Consider the following 22,211-nt stretch of genomic DNA (forward strand, 5'->3'; position numbering starts at 1 on the left):
TCCATTCTCCCTTGTACATCTTGTAATTTATTCTTCATTTCTGAGACAATTTTGTCTTTTTCTACCATTTCTTTCCTGAGTTTAAGGAACTCTTTTTTTTCTCCCTGTTTTTTGTTCCATTTCTGCTCTTAATTTTTGAATTCCAGATCCTCAAATGCTTGCTTCACCTTCATGCACCAAATAATGGCATCTCAGTCAACAATGGACCACATAGAGGACAGTGGTTCCATAAGATTTTAATGGAGCTGAAAAATTCCTATCACCTAGTGATGTCGTAGCCATTGCAATGTCATAGCACAATGCATTCCATGTTTGTGGCAATGTGGGTATAAACAAACTTACTGTGTTGCCAGTCATATAAAAGTCTTGCACATACAATTATGTGCAATAAATAATGCTCGATCATGATACTAAATGACTGTTACTGGTTTATGTATTTACTGTACTGTACTTTCATCACGTTAAAGTGTACTCCTACTTATTTTTTTTTAAGTTAACTGTAAAACAGCCTCAGGCAGGTCCTTCAGGAGGTATTCCATAAGAAGGCATTGTTATCACAGGAGATGACAGTTCCATGCATGTTTCTGTCCCTGAAGACCTCCCAGTGGGACAAGATGTGAAAGACAGTGATACTGATGATCCTGACTCTGTGTAGGCCTAGGCTCATGTGTGTGTTTGTGTCTTCATTTTTAAGAAAAAAGTTTTAAAAATAAAAATAGAAAAAAGCTTATAGAACAAGGATATAAAGACAGAAAATATTTTTGTACAGCTATGCAATATGTGTTTTAAGCTAAGTGTTATTACAAAAGAATCAAAAAGCTTTTAAAAATTAAACATTTATAAAGTAAAAAAAGTTATAGTAAGTTAAAGTTACTTTTGTGATTGAAGAAACATTGTTTCATAAAGTTAGCTTAGTCTAAAGGGGCAGTAATGTCCTAGGCCTTCACATTACTCACCACTCACTCACTGACCCACCCAAACAACATCCTGTCCTGCAAACTCCATTCATAGGGAGTGCCCCACACAGGTACCCCATTTTTATGCTGCATTCTTACTGTACCTTTTCTATATTTAGTTATGTTTAGATACAGAAATATTTCCCATTATGTTCCAATTACCTACAGTATTGAGTCCAGTAACCTGCTATACAGGTTTGTAGCCAAGGAGCAATAGGCTAGACCACACAGCCCAGGTGGGTAGTAAGTATACCATCTGGACTTGCATAAATAAACTCTATGATGGTCACACAACACAATGACAAAATCGCCCAATGACGCATTTCTCAGAACTTATCCCCATCGTGAAGCGAAGCATGACTGTATATTTAATTCATTTTGGAACGTAGACCTACAATTTTCTTCTGCTTCATGGTTGTTTTTCAGGAAGGGACTTTTTCTCAGTTGATTTGCATGCAAATGCATTCCCTCATTTTCTGAACTATTTCTCTAAAAACTTTCCTTTTATTCATTTCTATGATACTGCAGTATTTTAGAAGATTTCTCATTTAATTTCTTTTCTGTCTGGAAAAGTCCAGGTACTTCAGTGGGGTTTCATCTGTTTGTTTGTTTTGGTGGCATGGGCAGGTTAGGAGGCTGCCAGTTTTTAGTTCTCTTTTGTCTTGTAGGACAATAAAATTCCTCTTTTTTCTTTTCCTCTTCACCACCCAAGTTCCAAAGCATGCTTCTTCCTTCCTTCTCTTTTGCCTTTTTCTCTCCCAGAAGCTTTTCTCCCCAAAAGACCATCCTTTTAAATCAGATTTTCCCATTTAAAGAATGTCTATCCCTTTAAACAGTATGTCTAGTCCAAAGAAGAAATACAAATGGCCAACAAACATATGGAAAAATGTTCAACATCATTAATCATCAAGAAAATGCAAATTAAAACCACAATGAAATACCATCTTACCCTAGCCAGAATGGTTATTATTAAAAACTCAAAAAGCAAGAGGGCTGAATACGTCGGATCCCTTCTCTGCTGTCACGCTCTGAATATTTTCAGATTTCAGGTGGATTTCATCCTGCTGGGGGTCGCTCCACACTCAGGCCGCTTCACTGGCGTCCACTCTGCATGTTCCCCTGAGCTTGTTTCATCTGCCTTTGCCTGCTTCCAAACCCCACCATGTGAGGCAGGAGCATGTGGGACAATGGCTCTGGTGTTTGTTGACTTTTCTCTTTTTACTCACAGTTATTGTACAGTTTCTGCATTCGTTGACATTAATGTGGAGAGATGGTTGTCAGAATATTTTCTTTTTCTTTTTCTTTTTTTTGTTTTTTGTTTTTTGTTTTTTGTTTTTTTTTATGGAGACTTGCTCTGTCACCCAGGCTGGAGTGCAGTGGTGCAATCTCTGCAACTTCTGCCTCCTGGGTCCAAGGAATTCTCCTGCCTCAGCCTCCTGGGTAGCTGGGACTATAGGCGTACGCCACCATACCTGGCTAATTTTTGTATTTTCAGAGAAACGGGGTTTTGCCATGTTGGCCAAGCTGGTCTCGAACTTCTGGCCTCAAGCAATCTACCCACCTTGGCCTCCCAGAGTGCTGGGATTACAGGTGTGAGTCACCATGCCAGGCCAGTTGTAGCATTTTCACAGATGTAAAGTTATCTCATTTGGGAAGGGGACTAGGTGAATAATTTACTACACTCTACAATTTGTCTATAGCACCCTGAATCCCCACTTTTTTTTTGAGATGGAGTCTCACTCTGTCCCTGAGTCCCCACTTTCAAAGGGCTCATTAAAGTATAATATCCATACAAAAAGTGTACATATCACAAGTGCAGATCCCAATTAATGTTCACAAACTGCACGCACCTTTGTGTCCAGCCCAACGGCCAGGGAAAAGAGCTTTCTAGCACCATGGAACCCTCCTGTGTTCCCTCTCAGTTGCCACCCCTGCCCCTCACCAAGGGTAACCACAGCATGGATTCATTGTGCCCTTGTTTGTACATTATAGAGATGATGTCATATGGCATGTACTTGTATGTGCCTAGCCTCTTTCATCATGTTGGTGAGATTCATCCATATTGTGCAGTTGGCCCATTCTCACTGCTAAACACTGTTATCCATTTGTGAATACACCACTATTTACCCCTTCTATGGTAATTGAAGTAGTTTCAAGTTTTTGGCTAATTTGAATAGTGTTGTGGTGAACGTTCTTGTACGTGCCCTTTGGTGAATATATGTACACATTTCTGGTGGCAATACACCTAGGACTAGAGTTGTCTGTTCAGTATATAAAAATTCCTATTGCTGTACATCCTTGTCAAAATGTGGTATTGCCTATCTTTTTTATATGATCTGTTCTGGTGGTATTTGGTGATATTTCATGGTGGTTGAGCATCTAGTCATCTTTTATTGGCCATTTGGTTCTGCCCTTTTGGGAAAATCTCTTTTGGCCATTTTTCCTTTCCTAGCACTTCATTTTAGAGCAAAAAGAACTATTTCCTGGTAACTTGTGATTTCACGCTGTTCACAAAACAAATTAGTCATAGAGCAAAAAAGTCAGACCTCGAACAACGGCACTAAATTCTCCAGGATTGTGCTACCATCAGGTTAGGGATTTGGCATTAATACTGCTATTATTTGGTAATCATTTAAGGTTTTTGAGCCAGGTAATGATGGGGCCATTGGTGAATTACATAGGCTAATCTAAAGACGATGGGTGGGATGGGTTATAGAAAAGCGAACCTGTGGCTAGATAAACCAGACAAATAATGTGCCCATGGTTCAAACAGAGAGAGAAACAATAAAATTGGAAAATAAGGGACAAATCAGAGATAAATTGGAAAGAAAAATTTAACAAAAACGAAAGAGTTCTCTGATCACTTTTAAGCCCATGAGAAGAGTAGTCATAACACAGACAGAATTAAGTAAATCAGAAGAATGAGCTATTTTGGAAAAGAAAAGCATGAGTTTGGTATGAAATCCAACAATTTTGACACACCAACAGGACATCCAGGATAAAGTATATGAGAGACAACTGAAAAACAGGGATTTTAGCTCAAGAGATGCAAGATAGAGATTTGTGAATCATCTGTTAAAAAAAAAGTGATATAGAAGTAAAGACAACATAGAGAAAGAAGAACATAAGATCAAGAAGAGAAACGACACTCCTATTTAACGGATGAGGAAAAGAAAAGAATTTAAGGAAGAAGTCGGAGGAGAGTAGACCTACATCAGTAGAAGGAGAACCAGAGGAGAATTAGAAGAGTCTTACATCATAAGCATCAGAGAAATAAGACTTAAAATAGGAGACAATCAACACAGAAGCCTCAGAGAAGCAAAGTAATATATGAGATCTGGGGGAGGAGAAAAGCCTTTTGGATATAGCATACATTGTCATTGGTGACAGTGGAGAGAATGGTTTTGGGTGAGTGCTAGAGAGGAAAGTCATAAGACATTCAGAAATGAGCTGATCATCAGACAATACAGTGAGCAATGTATTATTAGAACACTATCAATGGCTTCGATTGTGAATGGCAGAAAAGAATTAGGTCAGAAAGAAGAAAAGGCAGAGAGTCAAGTGAAAACTTTTTCCAAATAAAAGAGATCTGTACTTGGATTAGGCACACAGAAAGATGCCCCCAAAAGAGTGATTCATTGATAATTTTGGAAAGTAAAGGATCGTTGCAGACCTGAAGTGCAACAGGGAAAGAAGGTTTAAAAAAACTCCTCCTGGGGAGAATAGTAAGAAATGAATTCTTCTACAATATAATCTAAAGATCCTGGATAAAATATAAAAGCCATTCTTTAAAAGTATAGGTGAATGTGCAAGAAAATAAAATTCTCAAATTCCAGATACAAAAAAGAGCTGAAAACCAAAAAGCCTTCAAGCTAACGTCACTTCCCAAGGCAGGGAAGGGGGATGGGCCTTGTTATTGATACCCTGGGGATTTGGTTTTTTGTCCACATGGGGATTAGAATTCGGGCCTCTGTGTAAAGCTAGGATCCTTTAAAATCCACCCTTATAAAAAGGTGAAAAAAGGGGGGAAAAAACCAACCATCAGCCCAGGCAGACTTTAAAAAAAAAAAAGTTGTCTGTCTCAGGCCTAGCCTTGGGTAGAAAAAACAGTCTGCCCTAGGAGCTCATGTATCTGGGTCTGGGCTGCCATGTAATGTACTAACTCTCAATCTAAGAAACCACCATAGGTCAGGCGTGGTAGCTCATGCCTGTAATCTCAGCACATTGGAAGGCTGAGGCAAGCAGATCACCTGAGGTCAGGAGTTCGAGCCCAGCCTGGCCAACATGGTGAAACCCTGTCTCCACTAAAAAAATACAAAAATTAGCCGGGCGTGGTGGTAGACGCCTGTGATCCTAGCTGCTCGGGAGGCTGAGGTGAGAGACTTGCTTGAACCCGGGAGGTGGAGGTTGCAGTGAGCCGAGATCGCATCACTGCACTCCAGCCTGGGCGACAGAGTGAAACTCCGTCTCAAAAACAAAGAAAAAAAAAAGAAACCAACATAAAATTTTGTCCCAGGTTGTTAATACCTTGGAATATGAATGCAAAGCAACCCTGTATTGGCTATGCCCCAATACAAGCCACATAGAAGTCCCATGAATAAAGTGCCAAGGAAGATGAACTTGGAGCTCGATAACTGTAAATCACAAGTAATAGTTTATAAGCATACCAGGAATCTGTCCACCCAAGGCACAATAAACTGCAGAGTTAATCTTCAGTAAATTCAGATAATTAAACAATTCAAGTTAAACCATAAAATAATTATGTTTAAAATGATTAAGGACATAAAAGAAGATACGGAAAAAAAACTTCAGAGTAATACACTGTTTAAAAATTAAAATCAGGAAAGAAAAAGCTGAGAAGGAAGATACATTGGAAATAAGTGGGCCGGGCTCTGTGGCTCACGCCTGTAATCCCAGCACTTTGGGAGGCCAAGGCAGGTAGATCACGAGGTCAGGAGTTTAAGACCAGCCTGGCCAAGATGGTGAAACCCCGTCTTTACTAAAAATACAAAAAGTTAGCCAGCCCTCGTGGCAGGCGCCTATAATCCCAGCTACTTGGGAGGCTGAGGCAGGAGAATCGCTTGAACCAGGGAGGCAGAGGTTGCAGTGAGCTGAGATGGCACCACTACACTCCAGCCTGGGCAACAGAGCGAGACTCCATCTCAAAAAAAAAAAATAAGAAAATAAGAAAATAAGTAAAATTTCTAAGAATAAAAAATAGGTATAGCCATCGAAATTATAAAATTCAGCAAATGCATCAAAGAGCAAGGTCAACATAGGAAAAGAGAGATTTGGTGTACAAAAAGCTAGATCTGAGGAAATTGCTCAATTGAATCTCAAAGAGACAAAAACAGATGAAACTATCAGGAAGAGGTTAAGAAACAGAAAGGATAAAATGAAAAAGAGTTCTAGAAGGAGATCCAACCAAAGAAAAGAAGGGATTGGTCATTCATTCATTCATTCATTCGAGGGCCAAATGAATCTAGAAAGCTTGAATTTTAAATCACTCAAGTTGACACAACCGGTATACCAGCTCTTCCGTCTGATTATTCCAATCCACATTCTTCTCTTCCTTTTCTAAAGTTCACTGGTAATTACAACCCATACCTCACAATGCACCTCCTGATTACACGCTGCCTCGTATACAGCAATGTTTTCACACATGCTATTTATATCTCCCTAATTAAACTGCAAGAACCTAAAAGAAATCATGTCTTATATCTTACATTTCCTACAGTGCCTGGTATTACTCAATCTAAACTAGAATTTAAAGAGATAAATAATAGAATTAAAGATAAAAGCCTTCATTTGAAGGCTTCAACCTGTAATCATTTACTTTAATAAAGGCATATTCATTTATCTTTTTTATAGACAAAACATATCCCATTCAAAAACATGCACATTCCACCAACATGTGCATGAGTTCAGCTTAAACTTTATCTTTAGCTTAAAATGCCTTTAAGTATTCTTTCTTTCAGTATGCACCCAGCAAGTTTGCATGCTGAGCATATTTTGTAAATCAAGCTATAAATAACTATAATAAATGTCATATGTAAATTGATCTATTTTCAAGGTTTCTGAGTACAACAGAAGATCTGAATAATTTTTTGAATAGCTGACAAATACTTTTTCTGTTTTTGCATTTGGATATCTCCCAAACAACTGAGCAAATTTTCCTAAAACTTCATCTACAATTCTCTGTAGGATTAAGAATGGACATGAGAAAATTCATTTCTGAAACAGGTAATTAATGAAGGTCAAAGGCAATGAAAATTAACAGCTCGATACATGATCCCTGCAATCACTCGGCTTTATTCTAGTGACACAATAAAGAATGCATGATGGTAACATTGAAAAGAATAACCAGTAGAAATATGCATATTTTCTACTGTTTTTTTTTCAATGTTACCATCTATAATTCTTAATGGCACATCACTGCTGTCCATTTCAGCATAAAATTCATTTTTAGGACACAAGTTGAGAGTATCTTAAGCAATAATCTACACTTTCTTCATCACCTCTAAAATGACTTAATGAAAGCAAGTCAAATCTTTAAAAAGGTGTCTGCACCATTAAAATAACTGGATTCCTTCATCCCACTGCTATCTTCCCCATATCATGGAAAGATTCATTGCTGAGAAGACATAATATAGTGGCCAAAAAGGAAATTGGTCTGAAGAAATTAATAAATCAGGAGACACAAGCCAGCAAACCCAGAGAGAAAAACCCAAAGTGGTTTCCTCTTATTCTCCTCTACCTTTCCCCAAAACACTACACACACACACACACTCTCTCTCTCTCTCTCTTTAATCTTCAAACCAAGAGAGACTTCAAAGTCCAAGAAAGTCCAAGAGCAAAAATGACAAAGCAGCAGCAGCAGCTGTCTCAGCTGATTGGGACACAGGTTTAGGTACCATGCTCCTCATTAAAAAACCCGGCTAAGTCCCACATTAATCTTCATAGTTAATTTCTTTTACTTAAAGGCATACATGTTTGTGGATAAGAATTTGACTAACAGTTGTTTGGCCAGAAGCTAAAATAAAATTTTAAATTCTAAATGACATCGTGTAATATACATGATATTACACGAATGTGAAGCCAGCTATGCCAAGCCCCTCAGCCACCCCAGTACTCTGCTCTTGAGGTGGTCCAAGCTCACCTGTAGAAAAGGTAAACACAAATCGAGTAGTACATGTGAAATCCATTCGTTCCCTGGTCTGTGTTTACAGGTACCATGCTTGCAGCCACACATCAAGTAAGGATTTTTGGCCATGAAACTTTCCAAATGAAGTCTGCTAACTCCTGAATAACAGCCAACAGCTATCTCACCAACGTTTCCTTGGGGACCTCCAGGACTTAATTCCTTCAAAGAGTTCTGTCTTCTCCATCTGCACACCATTCTATTTGTAAATGTGAGACTTTGAACTCAAGAGAGGAGATCTAATTAGTAGAGAAAGCAGAGGGACGTTCAACAGGTCTATCTAGGGGATCGGGGCCTTTAGTACACAATAGGGAGAGAGAAGCCTCAGCACCACTTGTGAGACTCACAGAAAAGTGACAATTAAGTTCTCTGAGCTCCCTAAGAAAAAGAAGTCTATGCATGCATTCTCTTTTGCAAGCATTCTCCTTTGAATACTAATCCTAGAAATGTCACTCCAGAAGCCAGAAGAAATTATAAGATGTTTCCTAGTTCTGTCAATGCAAGAGACCCTGAGGGAATATCTTGTTTAGAGCTGTGCTGCAGGCATTCAGAGGGATAGAGCAGAGCTTCTTAGCAAAAATAAATAAATAAATAAATATGCCCCCATATGCAAACTATCTAATAAGCAATCACACTTCTCTGTTAAGCTAAGACCCTCCAAAGCACTCTAGGAAAAATTTGTCTTTTAGAGTAAATCATCCCTGGATTAAGTCTGGGTTTTCTTATAATTTTTTTAATTAAACAAATATTGCATTCATAGTATCACAGTACGGATCATATACCAAACAGACTTCTCATCTGATTTCTTGCTATTTGCATAGCATTCCACTTTCAGTTTTTGAGATGGGAGAAGAGTCTCTGCATCTAAAGGTCACAGTCATTCTGTGGCACTTTGCCCATGGAAGCGCTCTGTCAATAGAATATCCTCAGATGTGCTGAATTGAATGAAGTATGCATGCTAAAATAGATAAACAAGCAAACAAAACCTGAGAGTCGGAAAGTACCAAAAGTCCAATCCTCTATTGAGGCCCAGAGAGAGGCCCCAACTCTCATGGGTACAGTCAGAGCCATTAGCAACTGGGGCCACAGGCCACAGCCTTTCTATGCTCCATACTTCTGACACTGGTAAGAGTAAAGGGCCGCAGGACACATATGCTATACCAGTTGGGGGATTCAGAGTTACATGCCATTCAGCTTGGACCAGTATGATTTATTATGTTGGTACAAAAATGTTTGTGGTCTTTGTCATTGCTTTTAATGGCAAAAACCGCAACCGCTTTTGCACCAACCATATTATACAAGATGTTGATGTGGTCTGGTGTAGTTCTCCTTCAGAGTCCACTATTATGCTCACCAATCCCAGTGCAAAGCCATTATTACCCTAGGTCACAGGAAAAGTCATATCTCTTGGGTTCACCTCTCCCTTGCAAGTCTATTAGGGGTGGGAGTGTTTGTTTTTAGAGACAGGATCTCACTCTGGCATCCAGGTTGGAATGCACTGGCACAATTATAGCTCACTGCAGCCTCGAACTCCTGGGCCAAAGCGATTCTCCTGCCTCAGCTTCCCAAAGCACTGGGATTACAAGGCATGAGCCACCACACACACTCTCCAAGTCTTGTTTTTTGTAAGTCACTTGACTTAGTAACTTCCAAAATTCTAACCAAAAGTTTTCTCCTGTTCTAAACTTCCCCTTCAATGAGAAAACATGGTTTGCGTCGACTCCTTTCAGCTACCAATGTTCAAAAAGCTCCTTCCCACTTTCTGAACCCACTGCTTCTTTAAAATGACACCATTCCATATGGTAGCACCAGCCACATGTGTTACATAAATTTAAATGTTCATTATTTTAAATTAAATAAAATTGAAAATTCAGTTTCTAAGTCACATTAACCACACGTCAAGTGTTCACGACCCACATACATTGATGGTGGCCATAGCACTGGACAGCACAGGTGGCTACAGTATTAGACACCACAGATAGAGAACATTTTCATCATCACAGAAATGTCTATTGGACAGTGCAGCTCTAGAAGCTGCAGATTTCCTCCCAGCTAGACTGTGAATTCCTTAATCTTCTCAAACACTGCAACTCTGAAACACGGTTGATTATTATTAGGCCCCAGCTAAAATGGGATTACACTAAATTTTATTTGTAGCAGAGGACTTTGCATCCTAGGCCAATATTTTTTTCACCTTTTATTTTGAGATAATTGCAAATTTTGATGCAATTGTTAAAAAAATGATACAGAAGGATTTCATCTCCCCTTTCCTCAGTTTCCTCCACTGGTTACATCTTTTATAAATATAATACAACATCAAAACCAGGAAATCGACATTGCTATTATCCACCTACTTTATTCAGATCTCACCAATTTTATATGCACTCATTCAAGTGGTATATGTCTCTGTGTGCATATGTGTATTACTTAGTTCCATTAAATGTTATTACATGTTCAGGTTCAGGAACCACCATCACAGTCAAGATTCACATGAATCTCTCCTGCCACCACTTTGTAGTCACAACCACCTCCCTCCTTCTCCTCTCCCTAACCCCCAGAAACCACTAATCTGCTTCCTATGTCTATAATTTTGTCATTTTAAGACAGTATATGAATGGACTCAAACTGTATTTAACATTTGAGACTGGCTTTTTTCACTCACATAATTCCCCTGAAATACATTCAAGTTGTTAAGTATTTCAGTAGTTTATTCCTTTTATTGCTAAGTGTTATTCTATGGTATGGACATACCACCATTTGTTTAATCATTAGCCCATTTATGGACATTTGGGTTGTTTCCAGTTTTTTGTTTTGGGTTTTTTTTTTTTTTGGAGATGGAGTCTCACTTTGTCAACCAGGATAGAGTGACATGACCACAGCTCACTGCAGCCTCAACATCCCGGGCTCAAGCAATCCTCCCACCTCAGCCTCTGGAGTAGCTGGGAACACAGATGTGCACCACCATGCCTGGCTAATTTTTGTATTTTTTGTAGAGACAAGGTATCATTGTGTTGTCCAGGCTGGTCTCAAACTCCTGAGCTCAAGCAATCCTCCTGCCTCAGCCTCCCAAAGTGCTGGGATTACAGGCCTGAGCCATTGCATTTCCAGTTTTTAACTATTACAAGTAAAGCTGCTATGAGCATTCGTGTACATGTCTGTGTGTGAACACAGTTTTCATCTCTCTGAGATAAATGCCCAAAAGTGCAATTGCTGGATCATATGGTAAAAGCATGTTTAGTTTTTAAAGAAACTGCCATGTGCTTTCCCAGAGTGGCTGGCCAGTTTACATGCCAACCTGCAATGTATGAGTGATCCAGTTTCTCTGTATCTTCATCAGCATTTGGTGTTGTCACTACTTCTTATTTTGCCATTGTAATAGGTATGTACTGATATATTTTTGTGGTTTTGATTTGCATTTCCTAATGGCTAACGATCATCTTTTTCATGTGCTTGTTTACCATCTGTACAGCCTCATCTGTGAAATGTCTGTTCACACCTTTTGCCCATTTTCTAATTGGATTGTGTGTTATTTCACTGCTGACTTTTGAGAGTCTTTATTAATCTAGATACTAGTACTTTATGAGATATGTGGTTTGCAAATATTTCCTCCTATCCACTAGCTTGTCTCTTTGTCCCCCTCACAGGGTCTTCCACAGAGCAAAGTTTTCAATTCTAACGATGTCCAATTTACCAATTTTTCTTTTTCTGGATCATATTATTAGTGTCAAGTCTATGAACTCCTCACCAACCCCTGGGGCCTTTTTTTCCTAAAAGTTGTATAGTTTTGCATTTTATGTCTAAGTCCATGTTCCATTTTGAGTTAATGTTTGTGTAAAGTGTAAGGTTTAGGTCTAGTTCTTTTTTTTTTTTTTTTTTTTTGCCTATAGATGTCCAATTGCTATAGTTCCATTTATTAAAAAGACTGTCTTTCCTGCATTGAATTGCTTTTTGCCTCTTTGCCAAAAACTAGCTGGGCAGAAGAGGTTCTAGAAATCTGTTGCACAACGACATGAATGTACTTAACACTAGCAAACTGTGCACTTAAACATAGTTAAGATGACCCATTTTATGTTGTGTTTTTAGTAAAACTGAAATTTTTTAATTTAAAAATTACTTGGGCATACTTGTGTGGGTCTGATTCTGGATTCTCTATTCTGTTCCATTGATCTATGTGTCTGTCTCTTTGTCAATATCACACTGCCTTGATCTAGAGTAGATATTTAACATGTTCAAATCAGGTAAAGTGATTCCTCCCACTTTATTCTTTTCGAAATTGTTTTAGCTATTCTAGATTCTGTGCAGATATTTCTATTTTTATTTTATCCTTCAAAAAAGTTAATAAAAGCATTTCACAGAAGGAAAAACTGAGGCATTAATCTGTATTTACTCACCAAAAATTTATTCAAATAATCATTGAGCATCTTTTCTTTTTTTTAATTATACTTTAAGTTTTAATAAAATTTAATACTTTAAGTTTCATGTCATGGAGGGTGTTTTAGGATACATGAAAGATCATAATCATTCTCCCCTCTGAGCCTACTGTTAACTCTCAGGTGGTGATAGTCCTGTGTTATCAGTTAGTAGTGGAAGCTGTATCTATGATACAGCTCAGTTAAGCAGAGGTTAGTAGAGGAAGAAGATGGACACAGCTACTCCAGAGCAAAGACTTAGGGTCGATGGCTTTACTTGTCAACAGACGGCATCTTTACTGCTTGGCATAGGCCACTTGATAGCTGGAATACACCCTATGGTAAGGTCCATTTAGCTTCTGCAGAGCTGAGGGGCTACTTTGCAGTGACTGTAGCTTTTCATGAGTTTCCAACTGTCAACACAATGATCCTGCACAATAATGCAATGCTATTTGGAAACACAATACTTACATCCTTTTAATATCGGCTTTTAAGGTATCATTCGGGAAAGACAAGAGCAATATGGAATCATCTATCCCATTACAAACACATGACTTCATTACTTTTGCTGTATGGTTCTCATATGAGCAGAAAATTTCTTGGTTTCTTAGAAGATTAAGGAAGGTCAAATGGGGTTTTCATTGTCTATCAAAAGATAACTGTTGGTTTCTACAATAGGATCTTATATATAAGGTAATCCCTTACAAGAAAAGAAAAGTTCCAGAATAAATTGATCACTATAGGCAGGTCACATTAAAGAACTCTATAAGGCCCATTTTCAAATATTGTGCAAGACAACAGGCTTACAGAGATGGAAAAGGATTGGTCTCTGACCTCAAGTATTGAATGACAGCAGGTAACTATAATAAATTCTAAAATAAAGGTTTGCATAAAGCTCCACTGGAGCCTGGAGGAAGAAAATTTGTACTCAATCAGAAGAGGTCAGAGAAAGCCTTACAGAAAATTTGAAATTAGAGTCAGTTTTGAAAGGTTTAAAACCATAGATCAAAGTCAAGAAAAGAGCCATCTTGGAAAAAAATTGTTTTAATCCTCAATGGAATGTTTTAGTGATCTATTGCACTGAATGTTGACCACAGTTAACAATAATGTATGGTATATTTCCAATTGCCACAATAGATTTTTAACATTCCCACCACAAAAAAAAATCACAAATTGGTGAGGTGATGGCTATATTAATTAGCTTGACTGAATCTTTCTGTAATGCACAATAGATCAAAACATCCCATTGTGTCCCATAAACATACACAATTATTTGTTACTTAAAAATCAGTTTTAAAAATTCCTCAGTGAGAAGTTTCACTGCAGAACTCTTCCTTCACATACATATCTGTCAGCTTATTTATCATAAAACAGGACAGACAATTGACACTGTCAGTCAGGGCAAAGGAAAAGTGAGGGTAAAAAAAATAATACCCAAATACATGTCATAGGCTCTGTGTAATGACTACAAGAGCATTACAACTGGATGTGTGCTTCCTGCCAGCCAAAACAAAGGCAAAAATTAGTATAGTAGTCACAGTATCCATGAAATAAAAATTTACCTGCTTCCCAGGAGATTCAGAGCTTGCCTTATACCCAAATCTGAGAAGTGTTTCTTAGGAGGTTCCACAGAGAGGTATTATATGCCTAGCCAATTAACACCCTCCATGACATCCCTGCTGCACAGGCAGAGGATGGCATAGGCCTTTTTCTTTTCGCATCCCTCAGTGTTGCTTAGGCAACTCCCTGATGGTCTCATTGACTGAGCAAGGGATGGACAGCTCCTCTTTTTAAAATGTTTTGTAGAAATGGGATCTTGCTATGTTGCCCTGGCTGGTCTCAAACTCCTGATCTCAAGCGATCCTCCTGCCTTGGCCTCCCAAAGCACTGGGGCTACAGGTGTGAGCCACCATGCCCAGCAAACAGCTCCTTTTTGAGGCAATATTCCACAAATGTTATTTCTTCCTTGTGGACTTTTGATGAGAATTGGGCTAGCCTGGAGTATGCCCTGGGAATACACCTTAAGTCTTACTAGAAACAATATCAGTTAAATATGCATCTCCTCATGTGATAAAACCTTAAACTCTATAGTGCTGTTTCAGGTTTTTGTGTGAACAAATTATAGTAATTTCATTTCCGTGTCATCAAGAGTGTCACACAGAGACTGTGAGAAATGATTGTGACACTCTTGATGGCATGGAAATCACTACCAACCCAAGAAACAACGCACATCTTTATGCTCTTTGAGTCGCACCCATTCCTAGAGGTTCCACTTCACAGCAGAGTCTGAAAACACAGATTTCTATTGGCCCAGGGTTTCAGGAAGAATCCCCCAAGCAAACAGCCCAGGGCCCTGAAAAGAGTTAGGAAATGTTTTCAGTAGTGACAGCATTTGACAGCTCAGATCCCCACATTAACTGTCACCAAGACAGAGACATAAATATTCAACTGGCCTGCCGCAGCAGCTCACACTTGAAATCTCAGCACTTTGGAAGGACGAGGTGGGAAGATTGCTTGAGCCTCGAAATTCAAGACCAGCCTGGGCAACAGAGTGAGACCCCTATCTCTACAAAAAATACAAAGAAAAAGAAATAATGTTCAACTAAATGCAAAGCAAACTAATCAACGTGTTAATAGAAGTGTGGCCTTTACTCCTTTTGACAAAAGGAAGAAAGGACTCTGCTGTCCAGATAATGTGGTCCCGTCTCCTTGTTGACCAAATTACTATAATTTTTTCACCCAAAAACCTGAAACAGCACTATAGAGTTTAAGTTTTTATCACACGAGGAGATACATATCTAATTGATATTGTGCCTACTTATACTTAGAGTGTAGTCCCAGGGCATATTCCAGGCTAGCCCAATTCTCATCAAAAGTCCACAAGGAAGAAATAACATTTGTGGAATATTGCCTCAAAAAGGAGCTCTTTGCTGGGCATGGTGGCTCACACCTGTAACCCCAGTGCTTTGGGAGGCCAAGGCAGGAGGATCGCTTGAGACCAGGAGTTTGAGACCAGCCAGAGAAACATAGTGAGATCCCATTTTTACAAAAAATTTTAAAAAGGGGAGCTGTCCGGCCGGGTGCGGTGGCTCACGCCTGTAATCCCAGCACTTTGGGAGGCCGAGGTGGGCAGATCGTGAGGTCAGGAGATCGAGACCATCCTGATTAACACAGTGAAACCCCGTCTCTACTCAAAATACAAAAATTAGCCAGGCGTGGTGGTGGGCGCCTGTAGTCCCAGCTACTTGGGAGGCTGAGGCGGGAGAATGGCGTGAACCCAGGAGGCGGAACTTGCAGTGAGCCGAGATCACGCCACTGCACTCCAGCCTGGGCGACAGAGTGAGACTCCATCTCAAAAAAAAAAGGGGGAGGATAGGGGGAGCTGTCCATCCCTTACTCAGTCAATGAGACCATCAGGGAGTTGCCTAAGCAACACTGAGGGATGCAAAAAGAAACAGGCCTATGACATCCTCTTTGCCTGTGCAGCAGGGATGTCATGGAGAGTGTTAATCGGCCAGGCATATAATACCTCTCTGTGGAACCTCCTAAGAAACTCTTCTCAGATCTGGGTATAAGACAAGCTCTGAATCTCCTAGGAAGCAGGTAAATTTTTATTTTATGGATACTACTGTACTAATTTTTGCCTTTGTTTTGGCTAGCAGGAAGCACACATCCAGTTGTAATGCTCTTGAAGTCATTACACAGAGCCTATGACATGTATATGGGTATTATTTTTTTTACCCTCACTTTTCCTTCACCCTGACTTCATTATTTATTTTTTTGTCCTCTTTGTTATTTCTGTAGTATATAAAAAATAAAATGCTAGCCAAGGGAATAAATGTTGATATATATCTGTCTGTAATTTATGCAGGTCGGTAGAGAGCATCAACATATATTGTGGAGCAGGAAAGCAAACGTCCAGAGAGAATGTCTATGATGGTACCCAATGAGTCTAGGACCAGGATTCTTATGCTATGGTCACTCATATTTTTGAGTTTCATCAAATGAATGTCCTTCACATCACCAGCAAGCAGCTTCCACCTTCTGGATCTTCAGAATGGTCTTAAAGATGAGGGATGGAGGCCAGGCATGCTGGCTTATGACTGTAATCCCAGCAGGAAGCTAGGAGCCCAAGGCAGGAAGATTGCTTGAGGCTAAGAGTTCAAGATCAGTTTGGGCAACACAGCAAAAACCTATCTCTACAAAAACTAAAAATAAAAATAAATCACCTGAGCATGGTGGTGCATGCTTATAGGCTGAGGTGGCTAAGGTGGAAGGATTGCTTAAGCCCAGGAAGTTGAGACCGCAGAGAGCCATGATAGCACCATTGCACTCTGAGCAACAGGGCAAGACCCCAACTCTAAAAAAATAAATAAACAAATAGAGATGGAAGGAAGAATTAATGGATAAAGTTTTGAGACTATCCCACTTATAAAAGAATTATTTTTATTTCTTGAATATAAGAAAGACAGGGTCTTGCCATATTGCCCAGGCTGGTCTCGAATGCCTGGGCTCTATCAATCCAACCATGCCCAGTTAATGTATTTATTTATATTTATTTTTTGTAGAGATAGGTTCTTGCTATGATGCCCAAGCTGATCTTGAACTCCTGGCCTCAGTTGAGCCACTGTGCCCAGCCTTAGGAGAATTATTAAATGTATAAGTAAATGTGATTCAATGCTCATACCTCTCTAAACTTATTTCATAAACACATTCAGAATCATAAAATGATGGTTCACTTTTTTAACCCACATTTGTAAAATATAGTAAACATAGCTATAACTTAATTACTATCTTAGCTTGGGTGTCCCTGAAAGCAGAGCTTGAGGCAAAGACTTACGTGTGATTGTTTTCCTGAGATACATGATTCCAAGGAGAGGATGTGAATGACAGTGTCAGCAAGTGAGCAAGGAGGAAGGGTCCCTAGAAATGGGCATTGGCAAGTTGGCCTCCACTGTGGGTAATTGGCTTCTCAGTCCTGAAGGACTATTTGACAAGCCATATGAAATATGTTTTAGAACTGTGAATAGAGGAAGAAACATTTATTCACCAGTTTCCAAAACCCATTGATCAAAGGTCATGCCCCAAGTGTTAACACCCCCAGTGCCTTCCAGCTTATGCATATGTGAGCCCTGGTGGGTTTCCAGGCACCTGGCACCCAGACTGCAATGGCAGAGAAGCCCAGGGTGGGATGTTAGAGGGCATAGTAAGGGTCAGAGGCATCTGCAGGAAGGAACTGATGATCCGCAGCATCTTGTCATATTCTGAGAACTTATTAAAAGCAAGCAAAAGAAACTGTACTTTTTTCTTGATCTGTCTGTAACCCTTTTAAAGCTGAAAAGGAAATAAAAGCTTTTTATTTCATGGCCTCCTGTGCAAAAAACATAGGTCAGATGAAAAATCAAATACTGAAGTTACCATTAGCATCTGAGAAGAGCTGGAAGCTAAATATCCCATTGTGTCTGATATAAGTATTACATGAAATTAATGAAGAATATCAATACAGGTATGACAAGAAGGCAGTGACTAAGAGTCTTCTAATCTGAAAGAGACAGTAGGGAAGGACCACCCATCCCACTTCCAATCTAAACACTGTGTGGACTTAATATAGTGTTTAGTCTCTATCTTCCAGCTGAACACCAAGTTGAAGATGGCAGACAGTAGCTATTTAAATGGAAAATTAGTTCTCATACATCCAAACAATATCCAGGAACTCTGGCAGCCTGAGATTATCAGAACATAATAAATCTTTTGCTATTATGATCAGAATTTGCAGCAAAGACATAGAATTCCAGTTACAGAGGTAGTTACAAGAATAAGCCAGGAGCTGTGAATAGGGCTTACGGAATTTTTTAATAAATGAGTGAAAGCTAGACATTTCTCCACAGAGCAAAAAAAACCTTTAACAGACAGACTCTCACTCTGTTTCTCAGGCTGGATTGCAGTAGCACAATCATTGCTCACTGTAACTTCAAACTTCTGGGCTCAAGTGACCCTCCCATCTCAGCATCCCAAGTAGCTGGGACTACAGGTACATGCCACCACATCTGGGTAATTTTTTTTTTATTTTTTTGTAGAGAAGGGGTCTCGCTATGTTGCCCAGACAGGTCTTGAACTCTTGGCCTCAAGTGACCCTCCCACCTCAGCCTCCCAAAGCACTGAGTTTACAGAAATGAGCCACTATTCCTGGCTGAAAGACATTTTTAAATACAGCATTAAAATACATAATACAAAATTAAGGTAGTGAAAATAAATAGTTTTAATGTACAGAGAGATTTATCACAATATTTCTAAAGGGCTATATCCCTTTAAATCTAAATTTTATATTAATCATTTATAATTACTCATTAAACTTTTATAGGGGAAAAAATAAGTGACTAGATTTTATGGGAATGTAGCTCTGTTTCACATTAGGGGATTGTCTTAGATAACATTTCACCAAGTTATTAAAAGGACTTCTGTGAGCAGAGAATTGCATGGTAAGATATGCTAGAGAAACTCTGGGTTATACAAGGTAAACCAGTCTCTCTTCTGCAGGAATTTCACTTTGCGGGACGTGGAGATTGCTGATGGGGTCTAAGAGTGCCCTGCTTCTGCCAAGCTTGTTTAAATAGCACTATTCCAAGGACATTCCATGGAACATAAGTGCACTAAATGCCAATGTGAGAAGCTGATCAAAGCCCTAATTTTTGAACTGTGTCTGCCCGTGAAGTCCTGGAGTTCCATGGCTGTGCCTCAAGGCTACTCAAGAAAGGGAGGGAGGAGACGAAAGTGGGGAGTCCCTGAGCCAACAGAGCCCTGAGCCTTTCATTCCTGTGGTTAGCCAGAGTCCTTTTACATCTATATTTATATACTTATTTAACATCTTTATATTTATATATTCATTTTATATCTATATTTATATGCTGGGTTTCCAGGTAAGATTTTGGTTATGTAAAAACTCAGGTCTTTTTAAAAAAAAAAAAAAGTGCAAACACCTCATCTAGAATCAGTGCATCCACACAGACATAAGTCTAAGGCAGCAGTTCTATGAAGACAGTTGTGGAACCAGGCTCACCCCTAATATCAGCATTGCCTTGGCCAAGAGTACAAATGGAGGCCCACATAGATTATACATCCAATGTATGAGTTATATATCAAGCTAGCATCACTAGTTAAAACATTGCTACTTCCACAAATATACCCAAATTCAGAATCCTTAGACTTCCAGAAATCTACTGAAAAATGGTCTCTTCCCACCTCCAGTTCCTACCACAAGCAGTCCAGTGTACAACCAAGAACGTAAGTTAAAGCTTCACCCGTGGTCCTTGAAACAGTAATGATTTGACCATCACTTGGCTCAAGTGGGCACACACAGTCAGCATACTTCACTCTAGAGAGGAAAGACCTCAGAAAGAGGGCCACAAGCCTTGGAAGTTTAATTGTGACCATTTGGGCAGAGAATTCTGAGGTCTCATGTATCAGGAATGTGTTCCAGAAGGAAGATATATGGGGTCCAGATGGTTTTATTCTCTTATCCCAAGGACTTCTTGCTTAATGGGGAGGGAAAGGAACAAAGAAGGATGAGAGTGGAGCTCTCTAAAGCATAGGGCTCAAAGCAAGAGGTCTTCTTGCCAGGATTTAGGGCAGTACTAGCGGGAATCCCAATTGCAAGACGTCAGGCAGAAAAGGAAAGATGAAGTTGTCCCATGGGGCCAGCTTGCAGAAACCCAATCATGACAGCGATTGCAAACACTGTGGGGCCAGTCTCGGTGCACCTGAGCTTTCTTTTTTCTGATGAGAAAACCCAAAGCGTTTTATTTAGCTTTCTGAGCTAATCTTATAAGAAAATAAAATTCCAGCCTCAATTGTTGAAATTGTTACTTAGGAGAAAACTAAATAGAGAAATTTGAGATTAAATTCATAAACAGGGATGTTAGTAACAAACCACTTTGTAGGAGTTAGTGAGAGACGATGAGTCATAAAGACAAATTTCAAGCAAACATTTACCCATTAAACAAGTGTCATTAGCATCCATATTATAGGTACTAGGGATATGCCAGTGAATAATTCAAAGTTCTTGCCCTTGAGGAACTTAATTATTTTAGGATCAGCACATATATGTGTGCTCACACACCACACCCACTTCACGCACACACTTGAATAGTGATAAATTCTACGATAAAATGTAAACAGAGGTGGGAGTGGTGAGTGAAGAACTCTCTGAAGCTGTGATACTTAAGCAGAGACATGAAAGAAATGAGCTTTGTACACCTCTAGGGGAAGAGCATTCCAGGCAGAAGTAACAGTAAGTGCAAAGTCCCTGGGGTAAGAATAAGCTTAGAATGATCAAAGAATAATGCAGGAAAGTATAGCTAGGTCAGGGTGTGTAAAGGGGAGACAGGTAGAAAATATGAGAGTGGAAAGGTTGGCATTGCCAGATTGTGCAATGTACCATGTGGATCTAGAATTCAAGACAAAGGTCTGGACTCCAGCTGAATATTCAGGAGTGACTAGCAAGAGGTGACAGTTAAAGCTCAAAGAAAAAAAAATTCACCCAAGAGTAAACAGAATAAAACTAATCAAATTTGAGAGGAGTCCTGGAAAGCATTGATAGTGAACATGGCAAGAGGAATCAACGATGAAGCCTGGAAATAAGTGATCCTTTCTGGAGGAATGAAGTGTACAGGAGGGTTAAATATTAAAGAGAAGTTAGTTCAACTTAAAACCACCAGAGGTCCATTGGCTTTGATGAGCAGGAAGTCACTGGGGGCCCCTGCCAAGGCAACTGCTATGCACTGGTGAGAGTAGAAGTCAAAACTCTACTTGAGTTTTGAAGTCAAAACCCTTGAGAAATGTGTTAGAAATGAGTGAGGAGATTCTGCAAATTTGGATTGGTTTTTTAAGAATCTTGGCTGTGTAGGAGGGAGAATGGATAGGGCAGCAATTTCAGGATGAATTGGGGAAAATACTGGAGTTAAGTTGGAAAAAACTGATGTATGCTTGTTGGCTACATCAATAAGCACACACCAGTTTTTTCCATCTTAACTCCAGAAAGGAGCTGAGAAAGAAAGAGACGTTTAAGGTGCATGGGAGAGGATGTTGCTGAAGCAGCCTTCTCCATTCCACACATTGCCTTCCTGTGGGAAGACTTCAATTAACATTGCTTACTCTATCTTATTTGATTGGCAAATTTAGGAAGAAAATGGCAATCTTGGCTCAAGTCTTCCCTTTGCCCTATCAGAAGTGAACCTGCCCACAGAAGGCACAAATTTGCCTCTGCTCCTCCATGATGTAATTTTGACCTGTAAAGGCTACCATACAGCACTGCTGAGAACTGACCAGTCCTGGGGTTCAGATCTCAGGTCCATTTGACAGAGACACCAAGCCACATCCTCCAACTCAGCTCTATCCATAATATTGCTGTGGCCTCTGTCTTTATTCTTTGATTCACTTCCTGAATTGTGCAGCACTGAGGTGGAAAAGACAGAAGGCTGCTTACTGGTCCTCAGTGGACTCAACATTGTGAATAATTGATTAATTAAGATATGAAGGAAAGGAAAGGAAATTTTACAAAGAAGGAGCAAACAGAAGAAATGACTTCCCATCCTCTCAAACCAAAAAGTAGGAGAGAAGCATGTGCATGGGAGACAGGAGTTGAAAGTG

The 22,211-nt window shown here is 39.5% G+C and overlaps 1 long non-coding RNA gene and 1 other non-coding gene across 2 annotated transcripts in view; one reads left to right on the forward strand and one right to left on the reverse strand.

Annotated features, from left to right (window-relative positions):
- Positions 1-17,857, forward strand: part of LINC02209 (long intergenic non-protein coding RNA 2209) — a 32,097-nt gene extending 14,240 nt beyond the window's left edge. The window contains 1 exon segment of the long non-coding RNA NR_024473.1: positions 16,438-17,857. This is a non-coding gene — a long non-coding RNA (long intergenic non-protein coding RNA 2209).
- Positions 17,858-21,519: 3,662 nt separating this feature from the next.
- MIR3148 (microRNA 3148) lies at positions 21,520-21,596 on the reverse strand. The gene has a single exon (NR_036104.1). It is a non-coding gene; the product is annotated as a microRNA 3148 (primary transcript).
- Positions 21,597-22,211: the final 615 nt, after the last annotated feature.

The sequence above is a fragment of the Homo sapiens genome, chromosome 8 (genome assembly GCF_000001405.40).
Source record: "Homo sapiens chromosome 8, GRCh38.p14 Primary Assembly".
Classification (NCBI taxonomy): Eukaryota; Metazoa; Chordata; class Mammalia; order Primates; family Hominidae; genus Homo; species Homo sapiens.